The sequence below is a fragment of the Homo sapiens genome, chromosome 16 (assembly GCF_000001405.40).
Source record: "Homo sapiens chromosome 16, GRCh38.p14 Primary Assembly".
NCBI classification, from domain to species: Eukaryota; Metazoa; Chordata; class Mammalia; order Primates; family Hominidae; genus Homo; species Homo sapiens.
The window spans coordinates 3,069,658-3,082,569 of NC_000016.10; the positions used below are offsets into that span (position 1 = coordinate 3,069,658).

The 12,912-nt window shown below is 51.2% G+C and overlaps 1 pseudogene, besides 6 other annotated features; it reads right to left on the reverse strand.

Annotated features, from left to right (window-relative positions):
• On the reverse strand, window positions 3,561–4,939 carry LOC107984896 (uncharacterized; annotated as a pseudogene).
• Window positions 4,861–5,044: a silencer, noted in NCBI's record as "fragment chr16:3124519-3124702 (GRCh37/hg19 assembly coordinates)". NCBI's record gives its function as "represses an EF-1alpha promoter that drives an FKBP-Casp9 reporter gene in an ReSE screen in K562 erythroleukemia cells {active_cell/tissue: K562}" and the evidence as "EXISTENCE:reporter gene assay evidence [ECO:0000049][PMID:32094911]".
• Window positions 5,225–5,344: an enhancer, noted in NCBI's record as "active region_10296". NCBI's record gives its function as "activates an Ori minimal core promoter by ATAC-STARR-seq in GM12878 lymphoblastoid cells {active_cell/tissue: GM12878}" and the evidence as "EXISTENCE:reporter gene assay evidence [ECO:0000049][PMID:35858748]".
• Window positions 5,415–5,504: an enhancer, noted in NCBI's record as "active region_10297". NCBI's record gives its function as "activates an Ori minimal core promoter by ATAC-STARR-seq in GM12878 lymphoblastoid cells {active_cell/tissue: GM12878}" and the evidence as "EXISTENCE:reporter gene assay evidence [ECO:0000049][PMID:35858748]".
• Window positions 5,625–5,674: an enhancer, noted in NCBI's record as "active region_10298". NCBI's record gives its function as "activates an Ori minimal core promoter by ATAC-STARR-seq in GM12878 lymphoblastoid cells {active_cell/tissue: GM12878}" and the evidence as "EXISTENCE:reporter gene assay evidence [ECO:0000049][PMID:35858748]".
• Window positions 7,022–7,071: an enhancer, noted in NCBI's record as "active region_10299". NCBI's record gives its function as "activates an Ori minimal core promoter by ATAC-STARR-seq in GM12878 lymphoblastoid cells {active_cell/tissue: GM12878}" and the evidence as "EXISTENCE:reporter gene assay evidence [ECO:0000049][PMID:35858748]".
• Window positions 7,432–7,591: a silencer, noted in NCBI's record as "silent region_7112". NCBI's record gives its function as "represses an Ori minimal core promoter by ATAC-STARR-seq in GM12878 lymphoblastoid cells {active_cell/tissue: GM12878}" and the evidence as "EXISTENCE:reporter gene assay evidence [ECO:0000049][PMID:35858748]".

A 12,912-nucleotide genomic window follows, 5' to 3' on the forward strand; every position in this document is an offset into this window, starting at 1 on the left:
GTTTAACTGACTCACAGTTCCACATGGCTGGGGAAGCCTGAGGAAGCTTACAATCATGGGGGAAGGCGGAAGAGAAGCAAGGCACGTCCTACATGGCAGCAGGAGAAGCAGGGTGGGGGGAACTACCAAACACTTTTGTCCGCGTGTTTGTGTGTTTTTTTTATTTGAGATGGAGTTTCGCTCTTGTCGCCCAGGCTGGAGTGCAATGGGGTGATCTCGGCTCACTGCAACCTCTGTCTCTCTGGTTCAAGTGATTCTCCTGCCTCAGCCTGCTGAGTAGCTGGGGTTACAGGCATGCGCCACCATACCAGGCTAATTTTGTATTTTTAGTACAGATGCGGCTTCACCATGTTGGCCAGGCTGGTCTTGAACTCCTGACCTCAGGTGATCCGCCCACCTCGGCCTCCCAAAGTGCTGGGATTACAGGCATGAGCCACCACACCCGGCTGCCAAACACTTTTAACCCACCAGATCTTGTGAGAACTCACTCACTTACACCAGAAGCGCATGGGGGAAACCGCCCCCATGATGCAATCATCTCCAGCCCGGCCCCTCCCTCGACATGTGGGGATTACAGTTTGAGATGATTGGGGTAAGGACACAGAGAAAATCATCTCATTCTGCCCCTGGACCCTCCCAAACCTCATGTCCTTCTCACATTTCAAAACTCAATCATGCCTTCCCAACAGTCCCCCAAAGTCTAAACTCATTCCAACATCAACCCAAAAGGCCAATCCAAAGTCTCACCTGAGACAAGGCAAGTCTCTTCTGCCTATAAGCCTGTAAATTCAAAAGCAAGTTAGTTACTTCCAAGACACATTGTGGGTACAGGCATTGGGTAAATGTTCCCTTTCCAAATTGGAGAAATTGGCCAAAAAAGGGGGCTACAGGCCTCAGGCAAGACCCAAATCCACCAGGGCAGTCATTAAATCTTAAAGCTCCCAAGCGATCTCTTTGGCTCCATGTCTCATGTCCAGGGCTCACTGATGCAAGGGGTGGGTTCCCAGGGCCTGGGGCAGCTCCGCCCCTGTGGCTCTGCAGGGTGCAGCCCCCGCAGCTGCTTTCATGGGCTGGTGCTGAGTGCCTGCGGCTTTTCCAGGCACACAGAGCAAGCGCTTGGTGGATCTACCATTCTGGGGTCTGGAGGAGAGTGGTCTTCTCACAGCTCCACTAGGCAGTGCCCCAGTAGAGAGTCTGTGTGGGGGCTCCAACCCCACATTTCCTCTCTGCATTGCCCCAGTAGCCGTTCTCCATGACAACCTGTGCGTGGTCATCCAGGCATTTCCATCCATCCCCTGAAATCTAGGCGGAGGCCCCCAAAGCCCAGCTCTTGTCTTCTGCAGACCTGCAGGCCCAACACCATGTGGAAGCTGCCAAGGCTTGGGACTTGCACCTTCTGGAGCGACGGCCTGAGCTGTACCTTGGTCTTCTTTAGCCACAGCTGGAGCTGGAGTGGCTGGGGCACAGGGTGCCATGTCCCGAGGCTGCACAGAGCAGCGGGGCCCTAGGCCTAGCTTGAATTAATCCCCAGGAAATGGGTTTTCTTTTCTACCACATGGTCAGGCTGCAAATTTTCCATCTTTTATGCTCTGCTTCCCTTTTAAGTATAAGTTCTAATTCCAAAGCATCTCTTTGTGAGTGCATGTAACCGTATGCTTTCAAGAAAAGACAGGTGACTTGCTGAATGCTTTGGTGCTTAGAAATTTCTACTGCTGGCGGAGTGCAGTGGCTCATGTCTGTAATCCCAGCACTTTGGGAGGCCGAGGCCGGCAGATCACGAAGTCAGGATGTCGAGACCATCCCGGCCAACATGGTGAAACACTATCTGGACTAAAAATGCAAAAATTAGCTAGGCATGGTGGCACACGCCTGTAATCCCAGCTACTTGGGAGGTTGAGGCAGGAGAACCACTTGAACCAGGGAGTCCAAGGTTACAGTGGGCCAAGATTGCGCCACTGTACTCCAGCCTGGTGAAGGACCAAGACTCCATCTCAAACAAACAAACAAAAAAAACAAGGGACAGGTTCTTGCTATGTTGCTGAGGCTGCAGTGCAGTGGTGCAATCATAGGTCACTGCTATGGATGGATGGACAGATGCGTGCACAGAGGCAGGGATGGATGGACAGATGCATGCACAAACACGCTGAGCGCCTACTAGCACAAGACAAGACATACAGGGTTCTGCTCTCCCCAGGTACACAGGGTTGAGATCCAATGGGAAAGCAGTGAGCCAGCTGAGTCAGGGGTACGAGGAGACACTGAGCAGAGAAATAACCCGGGACATCTGAGGCCAGAAGCCAAAACTATGGCATCAGTAGGGAGACTGCAGAAGGCGGCAGGTCCCGGATCACCAAGGGCCTTGAAAGCATGTGGAAGACTTTGATCAATGGGGGAATCATTAAGGCATTTTGCATTCCGGAACTATCATCAGCTTCAGCAGGGGGCAGGGGGTAGGATAGAGGCAGGGAGGCAGGAAGTTCTCGCAGGGTCCAGGCAAGAGATGGTGGAGTGTGGTCCTGGGGAAGGGGGCAGTGGACGGATCTGAGGGAGGTTCAGTTAGGATGGGCAAGGATTGAGATCTGGCTGGATCCTGGTGACAGGGGAGATGAGGCTGGGGCCCTTGGAGGATGGTGTCCTGGTGCTGTTAATGCAGGTGTGAGAGTGGGAGGAGGAGGAGCAGGCTGGCAGAAGGCAGGCATGAGTACAGGTCTGGGCGGGAGTCTGCAGCGCTCTGGGCTGGCCACACGGGTGGGGCAAGGGAGGTGGAGGATCCTGCCCTAGAGCTTGGTCTCCTCTGTCTGAGGTCAGGTTCCCCAGAGGTGGGGCTCCAGAGGGAAATTCTTGTGCAAGCAGTTTCTCAGGGGCCATGTGCTGAGGGGAATGGGGAGCAGGAACAGCCTAGAAGCTGAGTGAGGATGTGGTCTCAGCTGGAGAGGAGGCTGATCGCATGGGAGCTCTGCAGCAGGGATGGCAATGCCGGGGAGGCCGTCCCGCCTGAGGCCAGGCCCAGCTCTTTGCAGCCCCATATTAACTACATTGGCTGCTGGGGAGCCTGAGTGACGGGGGAAGGGGGCAGCCAGGGAGGGTGCCTAGGCCCTGTGGAGGGCTTGGTAAGGCAGAGGCTGGGGAGGCTGTGTGCCTCAACATTCACATATGGGCTTCGGATGGGCGTGGTGGCACATGCTTGTAGTCCCAGCTACTCAGGAGGCTAAGGCAGGAGGATTGCTTGAGTCAGGGAGGTTGAGACTGCAATGAGCTGTGTTCACACCACTGCACTGCGGCCTGGGTGACAAAGTGAGACCCTGTCACACACACAGAAAAAGAGAATGTGGGCTTCAAAGTTGAATTCAAGTAAGTCAGGGTTCTTCCACTTGTAATGAACAACTTCCTTAACCTCATTGTCTCAGGTTCCTCCCCTGAGAAATGCGAGGAGAACGGCGCCTGCTGGTGGCGGGGGCTTGCCGATGAAATGAGCCATTCACCCATGCCTCTCAGCACAGGGCCTGCCCTGGGCCGCATACTGTGCATTGTCAGCTGCTGTCGGAGCTGGGCTAGTGGCCGCCTTGAGAGCCAGCAGTCCACGGGGGTTGGCGAGCTTCTGGGAGGAAAGGGTGGAACGTGACTGTCAGGTACAGAGCTACAGAGAACCCCAGCATGAAGGAGTAGGTGGCAGGGGAGAAGGACTCAACAGAGATGGAGAAAGACTAAGCCCAAAGGTGATCAACAACAAGAGTGAAGGAGGAAGTGGTCAGCTGTGGCTGGGGCAAAACAAGCCCAGTAAGTTACATTGGCCTGTGTTTGGTCATCCAGGGACAAAGTGACCTTTTTAGTGCCGGTAGGCCCAGTGGGTTGGGGAAGAATTTAGGCGGCAGTGGGCTTAGGCATGAGAGGAGCGGAGGAAGAGAAGATTGAGTTGAGACCACTGGCTGGAGAACTTGACCAGGAAGGGAGGGCAGAGAGCGGCGTGGAGTCGGGGGAGGGAATAGGTCCAATGAGCGTCTTAGGATGAAGGAGTTGTGAGCACTCAGCACAGGATAAGCTGATACAAAGAAAGGGATGGAGGATGGATAGACTGACAGATGCATGCACAGAGGCAGGGTTGGATAGCATGACAGATGCATGCACAGAGGCAGGGATGGATAGATGGACAGAGGCATGCACAGAGAGAGGGATGGATAGATGGACAGATGCATGCACAGAGGCAGGGATGGATGGATGGACAGATGCATGCACAGAGGCAGGAATGGAGAGACAGATGAGTGCAAACAGGTAGGGATGGATGGACAGGTGCCTACACAGAGGCAGGGATGAATGGATAGATGGATGCACAGGGGCAGGGATGGATGGATGGACAGATGCATGCACAGAGGCAGGGATGTATGGACGGATGCATGGGCAGAGGCAAGGATGAATGGATGGATAGATGCATGCACAGAGGCAGGGATGGACAGACAGATGAATGCACAGAGGCAGGGATGTACAGAAGGATGCATGCACAGAGGCAGGGATGGACGGAGGGACAGATGCAGGCACAGAGGCAGGGATGGATGGACAGACAGATGCATACACAGAGGCAGGGATAGATGGACAGATACTGGCACAGAGGCAGGGATGGATGGACAGATGCAGGCACAGAGGCAGGGACAGACAGACAGATGCATGCACAGAGGCGTGTATGAATGGTTGGAAGGATGCATGCACAGAGGCAGTGATGGATGGGTGGGGAGATTGGATGGATAGATGCCGGTAGGTCGTTCTTGTCCTGGAGGAGGTGATCCAGGCTAAGTCCTCACACCGGGAGGGGCAGGAGGCGAGCATGGGGAGATACAGCTGTGTGTCCCAGTGCACTGGAAGTTACAGATGACATCGATGTCCTGTCCTGATGAAACAGGAAACACAATTGTCATTTGAAAGTTAGGGCTGAGGGCCGGGCGCGGTGGCTCACACCTGTAATCCCAGCATTTTGGGAGGCTGAGGCGGGGGGGTCACCTGAGGTCAGGAGTTCGAGACCAGCCTGGCCAACATGGTGAAATCCCGTCCCTACTAAAAATGCAAAAATTAGCTGGGTGTGTTGGTGGGGCGCCTGTAATCCCAGATACTCAGGAGGCTGAGGCAGGAGAATCACTTGAACCTGGGAGGCAGAGGTTGCAGTGAGCTGAGATCACGCCATTGCACTCCAGCCTGGGTGACAGAGGAAGACACCGTCTCAAAAAAAAAAAAAAAAAGAGACAGAAAAGAAAGTTGGGGGCCGGGGCTGGATGAAAGCTTGAGGGGCTGTGGGCCTGGCATGGGGCTGAGGGGAGTGTGCAGGAGCTGCCTGCCAAAGCCTGGGGCAAGGATGATAGGAGGTGCTGGGGCCCCTGTGGACTGCCCTCTGAGAATCTCGTGAGGCTGGGTCTGCACAGCTGTGGTTGTGTAACTTCCCCCAGATGCATGGTGTGACAAGGGTGCAGGAAGGGGTGCAGGGCCCGGAAGCTCAGTGTGGTTAAAGACATGCAAGGCAGGATAGAAGGTGAGAGATGAATGATATGGCCGTGATCAAAACACCAAACTTCAGTTTCTCAGAAAAAGGACTCAGAGCAACAAGAGAACCTACAGTCAACAAGGACATTCATCAGCGCACATGTGATTTGAGCAAGACCATTGAAGCCCCTGCTGAACGGCAGGCTGGCAGAGCCAGGGTACCTGGCCATCTACCTTGAAGTCTCTGTGCCTCAGTTTCCTCCTCTGTAAAATGGACATAGGGGACAGGTTTGGTGAGAAGTGAATGAAAACGTGTTTGCTACCCCTCTTAGGACTCATGTTTCATGCTTAGATGCTCAGCTAGTGGTTTTAGGGACCGAGAGAAATTTGCTTTTCAGTTCACCAGGTCGTTACCTATGAACCTGCCCTGAGCAGTGCTGACCTTAGTTAGAGATGGCCATGAAACTCATCCGCATGGGGTAATTGGGGCCTCCCTGTGGTGCTGCAGGGCTATGTCTCTGTCTTGGTCTCTTCAGGCCTCTCAGCAGCTGGAGCAGGAGCTGGCAGGCAGCTCACCGATGGATAAGGAGCTGGGCTTTGGCCAGGGCTGACATGGGAAGCGTCTCGGTCCTGCCGGTCCTGGCGCCTGAGCTGAATCCGGAGGGAAGAGGCTGCTGTGGTGGGAACAGGCTGGGAGCCAGGCCTGGCGCTGGGGCCGGCAGGCTGTGTTCTGAGAGTGCCTGCTAGAGGAGCTCTGTGTTCCCAAGGAGATGGAGGAAGACCTGGGGTGGGGGTGGTACAGGGTAGGGAGAGGAGGGGCAGAGGCTGTGGACAGGGAGATGGGGGAGGGGGGATGGAGGACTCAAGGGATGTAAGGGATATGGCTTGAGGAGGGATGGGGGCAGGAATGAGGGAAGGTCTTGGGTCAAGGACATGGACCTACATCCCCAGCAGATGGGGGAGATGGGCGGGGGTTGCTGACCATAGACTGGAGCTGGGAGGAGGGTACGCTGCCAGGGCTGGGGCTGCCAGCAGAGAATGGCACGCACCTTATAGGCTCCTGCCCCTGCCCCACTGCCCCCTCAAGTTCAAGTTTCTTTTTCTTTTCTTTCTTTTTTTGAGACGGGGCCTTGTTCTGTTGTCCAGGCTGGAGTTCAGTGACATGGTCATGCGTCACTGCAGCCTCGACCTCCCCAGCTCAAGCAAGCCTCCTGCCTCCCTGCCTCAGCTTGGAACCTGAGTAGCTGGGACCACAGGCGTGCACCACCATTCCTGGCTATTTTTTAATTTTTTTGTAGAGAAGGGGGTTCTCCTTATGTTGCCCAGGCTGGTCTTGAGCTCCTGGGCTCAAGTGAAACTCCTACCTGAGCCTCCCAAAGTGCTAGGATTACAGGAGTGAGCCACCACACCCAGCTCCTTCCCCTCAAACTTCTGTGCAAAAAGTGCTCCCTTCCCAGAGGAGGGTCCCCATCTGTGTGTAAGGTGGCCCCTTCCTCTATGTGTTCTCTGGGTCGCTTCAGCCCTGTGGCCCAGTGTCCAGCACAGCCATGCTGAGTGGGTGACTGGAGAAAGGGATCGTGGAGGATTGGGGCAGGGGGGTGCTGGGCAGAGGCGGCTGGGGTCACCTCTGGAAGGTGTCCTGCTGTTCCTGTTGGCTGCAGCTGCACTTGCAGGGCCTTCCTGTGCCCCCCTTTCCTGGTGCAGGGGCACCCTCTGCTTGCTGAGACCAGCTCGGTCAGGGAGATCTTAAACCAGGGGCGCTAGAGGAATTAAAGACACACACACAGAAATTCAGAGGTGCGAAGTGGGAAATCAGGGGTCTGACAGCCTTCAGAGCTGAGAGCCCCAACAGAGGTTTACCCACATATTTATTAATAGTAAGTCAGTCATTAGCATTGTTTCTATAGATAATAGATTAACTAAAAGTATCCCTTATGGGAAATGAAGGGATGGGCCGAAGTAAAGTGGTGGGTCTGGTTAGTTATCTGCAGCAGGAGTGTGTCTTTAAGGCACAGATCACTCAGGCTATTGTTTGTGGTTTAAGAACGCCTTTAAGCGGTTTTCCGCCCTGGGTGGGCCAGGTGTCCCTTGCCCTCATTCCGGTAAACCCACAACCTTCCAGCGTGGGCGTCACGGCCATCATGAACGTGTCACAGTGCTGCAGATTTTGTTTATAGCCAGTTTTGGGGCCAGTTTATGGCCAGATCTTGGGGGGCCTGTTCCCAACATGTCCCCCCTTCTTTGATTTGCAACTCGATAAAAGCAAAGGCAGCTTTGTCACTGTGAGTTACTTCTCGCAGGAGTTAGGATCCACATCTGCAGACTATACAAAGACAAACAACACAGATTAAAAGCACAATCACATCATTGAAATTACAGAGCTTCCAAGTATTTTTATCCATTTTAATGGGTTACTAGCTGCAAATCTGTCTGCAGTTCCTTTAAGCACTCCAGTTGCTGGTATTAAGGTCAGGTGTGCCTGGGATGCTTTAAATATTTTTTCTTTTAATTTTACTGTATCCAAAAAGCTTGTAGAGTGTCCTTCTAGATGCTTTATTCTTTCCCCAATTTTGATCTTATTAAGAGCTATTAATAGTTTCTACAAATCCTTAATGTTTAGCTCCTACAGCGGGCCTTATCGTTTGAGGTTGAGGTGCCACTATACCAGCATGGTTCCAGATAATAGGAACTTTTGCCATACTTCTTATTGTTTCTACCATCTGACCGTTTTGTTCAGACCAGCTGCACATAGTGTGGCCGTGGCACGCAGGCTGAGAGGTGCAATTTAAGCTAAACATCCCCTTAGGGGACCAATTAACAGTGATTCCATAGGAATCGTTGCGCAGCACCTCTGCCTGTTCTGCAATGCAATCTTCCTAAACAAGTACGTTCATTTTTTCTGGCCAGGTTCAATTTTGTTTACAAATAGGTTTTTAAGGGCGGTATGCCTCAATTATAGGAGCAGATTATGGTAAATACTGAGATCAGAAAGCATGTGTAACTGTGTCATAGAGTGATTACATCTAGGCATTATTGCCAGCCAAGGTTGATAAATATGCCCAATAAGTATAATTGTTCTGTGTGTCAGCCCTTGTTGAAGGAATACTCACAGCAGTGGTGATAACTGCTATCATAGCTACCATGAAATTACTCATTGTGACTGGTTGTCCCGCTTTCCTCAGGTTTTCTTCTGCCATCTGTGACAGCTTCTTGATCTGTCCCCAGGTGGGTGGCTGTGTTCGACAGGTGTTGCTCGTGACAGTTGGGGTCCTCCTCAGCGTCAGTCTCAACATGGCTGCAACTGGGCCGTCCTCGGGATCCTCCCGGAGTCTCTTCCTCAGCATCTGGCTCATGATAAGATTTCAGGTGTCTTGATGGTATCCAGATCAGCTGTTGATTTTGGCCTGGAGAAACACAAGCATAACTTCTACCCCAAGTTATTATTTTACCTGTTTCCCAACTTTTTGTTATCAGATCTCTCCACCAAACCAGTTGTTCTGCTTCTGTCTTTGCAGCTGGTTTCTGGAATGCTGTTCAGCTGCTGATGACATCTGGCCTTTGGGCAGGTTCAAAAAATCTAAAGTTAATAATGCTAGATTCAATTGTGTATGGACTGTCCCATAATCCCTATCTCTCCCCCTTTTTTGTTTTTGTCATCAGTTGTTTATCTGTATGAAATAGTAACTGAGCATTTTTAATTAACTGTGTGGAATGAACCACATATGAAGAATCAGAAATCACATTAATAGGCTATCAAAAGCAGTCAATACCTCAATTACAGCTACAAACTTTGCTTTTTATAAGGCATCTGGAAAACTACTTTTTGAGCCAGAATAAGAAGCTTTACCATTACTAAACCCATCTGTAAAACAATGAAAACACTTAGCAGGCTGCAGGTTGTTGACTGCAGGAATGGTAAATGCAAACCATTCACAGTCTTGCTTAGCTAAGGGGATAGTAAAGAAACAGTCTTTTAAATCTATGACTATTAAAGGCCAACTTTTTGGAATTATAGCAGGAGAAGGCAATCCTGGCTGTAATGCTCCCATAGGTTGTGTAACTGAATTAATGGCTCTTAAGTCGGTTAACATTTTCTATTTACCTGATTTTTTTTTAAATTATGAAAACTGGAGAATTCCAAGGGGAAAATGTTGGCGCTATGTGCCCATTTTCTAATTGTTCAGTAACTAATTTCTCTAAAGCCTCCAGTTTCTATTTACTTAGCGGCCATTTTTCTATCCAAATTGGCTTTTCTGTTAACCGTTTTAAAGGTGTAGGTTCTGGAGGCTTAACAGTGGCCACCATCAAAAATGATATCCTAAGCCTTGGCGGGAACTTGTCTTTCCAATTGAAGTGGTTCTTTCAAACCTTGCAAATTTTTTTTCTAGTCACCTACCAGGGACATGCCCCATTTCATGCATGATATGTTGACTTTGAGGGCTATATAATTGTTCTGGAGTTAGAACTTGTGCTCCCCATTGTTGTAATAAATCTCTTCTCCATAAATTTATAGGCACAGAAGTTATAATTGGTTGAATATTCCCAGGTTGTCCATCGGGCCCCTCACAATGCAAAATATAACTACTTTGATATACTTCAGGGGCTTTACCAACTCCAACTATGTTAAATTGAGCGGGTTGACTTGGCCATGCGGATGGCCAGTGCTGTAGAGAAATGATTGAAATGTCTGCTCCTGTATCTACCAAACCTTTACATTTCTTTCCCTGAATAGTTATTTCACAGGTAGGACGTTTATCAGCAATTTGATTGACCCAATAAGCCACTTTGCCTTGTTTATTTGTGCTTCCAAATCCTCCTGTTCCTTTAGTTCCACTTTTCCCCATTCCCACATACGGCACAATCAGGAGCTGTGATACACATTCTCCTGGCTCTGCTTTCCAGGGAACAGAAGTAGATATAACAGTTTGAATTTCCCCATCGTGATCCGAATCAATGACTCCTGTATGTATTTGTCCCCTTTTAAACTTAAACTAGACCTTCCTAAAAGTAATCCTATTGCCCCGCTGGCACGGGTCCACAGACTCCTGTTGAGACCTTTCGCGGGTGTTCCCCTGGCAGAAAGCTCACGGCTTTCGTGCAGCATCAATCTACTGCGGCACTACCGGCTGCGGCGGGGGACAGACATTGTACGGGGGTGAGGGAAGGGCCTCAGCTGGAAATGCCCTGATTTAGAACCGGGCCCGGGACGGGCACCTCATGGCATTTCCCGAAATTGGGTTTCCAGCTTTATCAAACTTAGAGTGACACTGATTAGCCCAATGTTTTCCTTTTTTACATTTTGGACATATTTCAGGCTCAGCAGTTTTCTTTGATATTTTCTACATTCTTTTTTAGTATGAATATCTTGTTTAAATTCTTTGAGTAATTTAAAAGGGAAAGGCTCAAATGTAGCTATAATATTTCCCTGTTGATCTGGGGGGTGTATTCTAACAGGGAACTGTCAAGCCTCTAAATCACCCCCTCGTCTAGCTTGCTGAATTCCTGCCTGAATAGAACTAAGAGAGGTCGCTCGAGGTGCTGCTCAGTCACTGGAGCAACTACTTTTCGCCCAGTATCCTCCGGAAAAGAAAGATCTGGAGGGTCAGGCCGCCCTTTTTCTTCAAAATAATAAGTAGGGGGTGCAGAAGGGTAGGGATGAACGTCTCCCTCCTTTGCCGCTTTAGCTTTAGCTGGCAAACAAACCTGCTCTGTAACCTCTTCTGTTACTTCGTTATACTCTCCTCCCTCCTCATTAGCTTGAAAAGGTTCCAAGGTGGAAGGAACCAGACCCCAAACCAATCCCATTGTTACCCTGATGCTTCCGAGCTCCCCTTCTTACTCACCATGGGGATTGCTTTAAGAATACTCGGGTGTCCTCCAGCTCCTTCCACATTCTCCAACCATCGCTCCGGCGACCCTTCGACCTGGATTCGAGCCTCGGTCGGGGAGACCCTAACCCAGCGGCGCTAGAGGAATTAAAGACACACACACAGAAGTACAGAGGTGTGAAGTGGGAAATCAGGGGTCTCACAACCTTCAGAGCTGAGAGCCCCAACAGAGGTTTACCCAAGTATTTATTAACAGCAAGTCAGTCATTAGCATTGTTTCTATAGATATTCCATTAATTAAAAGTATCCCTTATGTGAAGCGAAGGGACGGGTCGAAATAAAGGGGTGGCTCTGGCTAGTGAACTGCAGCAGGAGCATGTCCTTAAGGCACAGATCGCTCAGGCTATTGTTTGTGGTTTAAGAACGCCTTTAAGCGGTTTTCCATTCTGGGTAGGCCAGGTGTTCCTTGCCCTCATTCCGGTAAACCCACAACCTTCCAGTGTGGGCGTCATGGCCATCATGAATGTGTCACAGTGCTGCAGAGACTTTGTTTATAGCCAGGAAACCAACACCTGTGGGCCTCCGTCTCCCAGGGTCAGGAAAAGGCTGAGAGGCCGGGGTGTGGCCAGGGCCTGGGGCTGACACCCCCACCTACAGACCCTGAATGGTGCTCCCATTCCACAGGAGCTCACTCCTCTACTTGAAAAAGAAAGAGATGGATTACGGTGCCGAGGCAACAGATCCCCTGTCCCGGATGTTGAGGATCCCGCAACCGAGGAGCCTGGGGAGAGCTTTTGTGACAAGGTCATGAGATGGTTCCAGGCCATGCTGCAGCGGCTGCAGACCTGGTGGCACGGGGTTCTGGCCTGGGTGAAGGAGAAGGTGGTGGCCCTGGTCCATGCAGTGCAGGCCCTCTGGAAACAGTTCCAGAGTTTCTGCTGCTCTTTGTCAGAGCTCTTCATGTCCTCTTTCCAGTCCTACGGAGCCACACGGGGGGCAAGGAGGAGCTGACACCCCAGAAGTGCTCTGAACCCCAATCCTCAAAATGAAGATACTGACACCACCTTTGCCCTCCCAGTCACCGCGCACCCACCCTGACCCCTCCCTCAGCTGTCCTGTGCCCCGCCCTCTCCCGCACACTCAGTCCCCCTGCCTGGCATTCCTGCCGCAGCTCTGACCTGGCGCTGTCGCCCTGGCATCTTAATAAAACCTGCTTATACTTCCCTGGCAGGGGAGATACCATGATCACGGAGGTGGGTTTCACAGGACAAGGCTGATCTGTTGCTGTATTAGTCCATTTTCACACAGCTATAAAGAATGCCTGAGGGCTGGGCGCAGTGGCTCACGCTTGTAATCCCAGCACTTTGGGAGGCCAAGGCGGGAGGATTACGAGGTCAGGAGATCGAGACCATCCTGGCTAACAGGTGAAGCCCTGTCTCTACTAAAAATACAAAAAATTAGCCGGGCGTGGTGGCGGGAGCCTGTAGTCCCAGCTACTCCAGAGGCTGAGGCAGGAGAATGGCGTGAACCCAGGTGGCGGAGCTTGCAGTGAGCCGAGATCGTGCCACTGCACTCCAGCCTGGGAGACAGCAAGACTCCATCAAAAAAAAAAAAAAAAAAA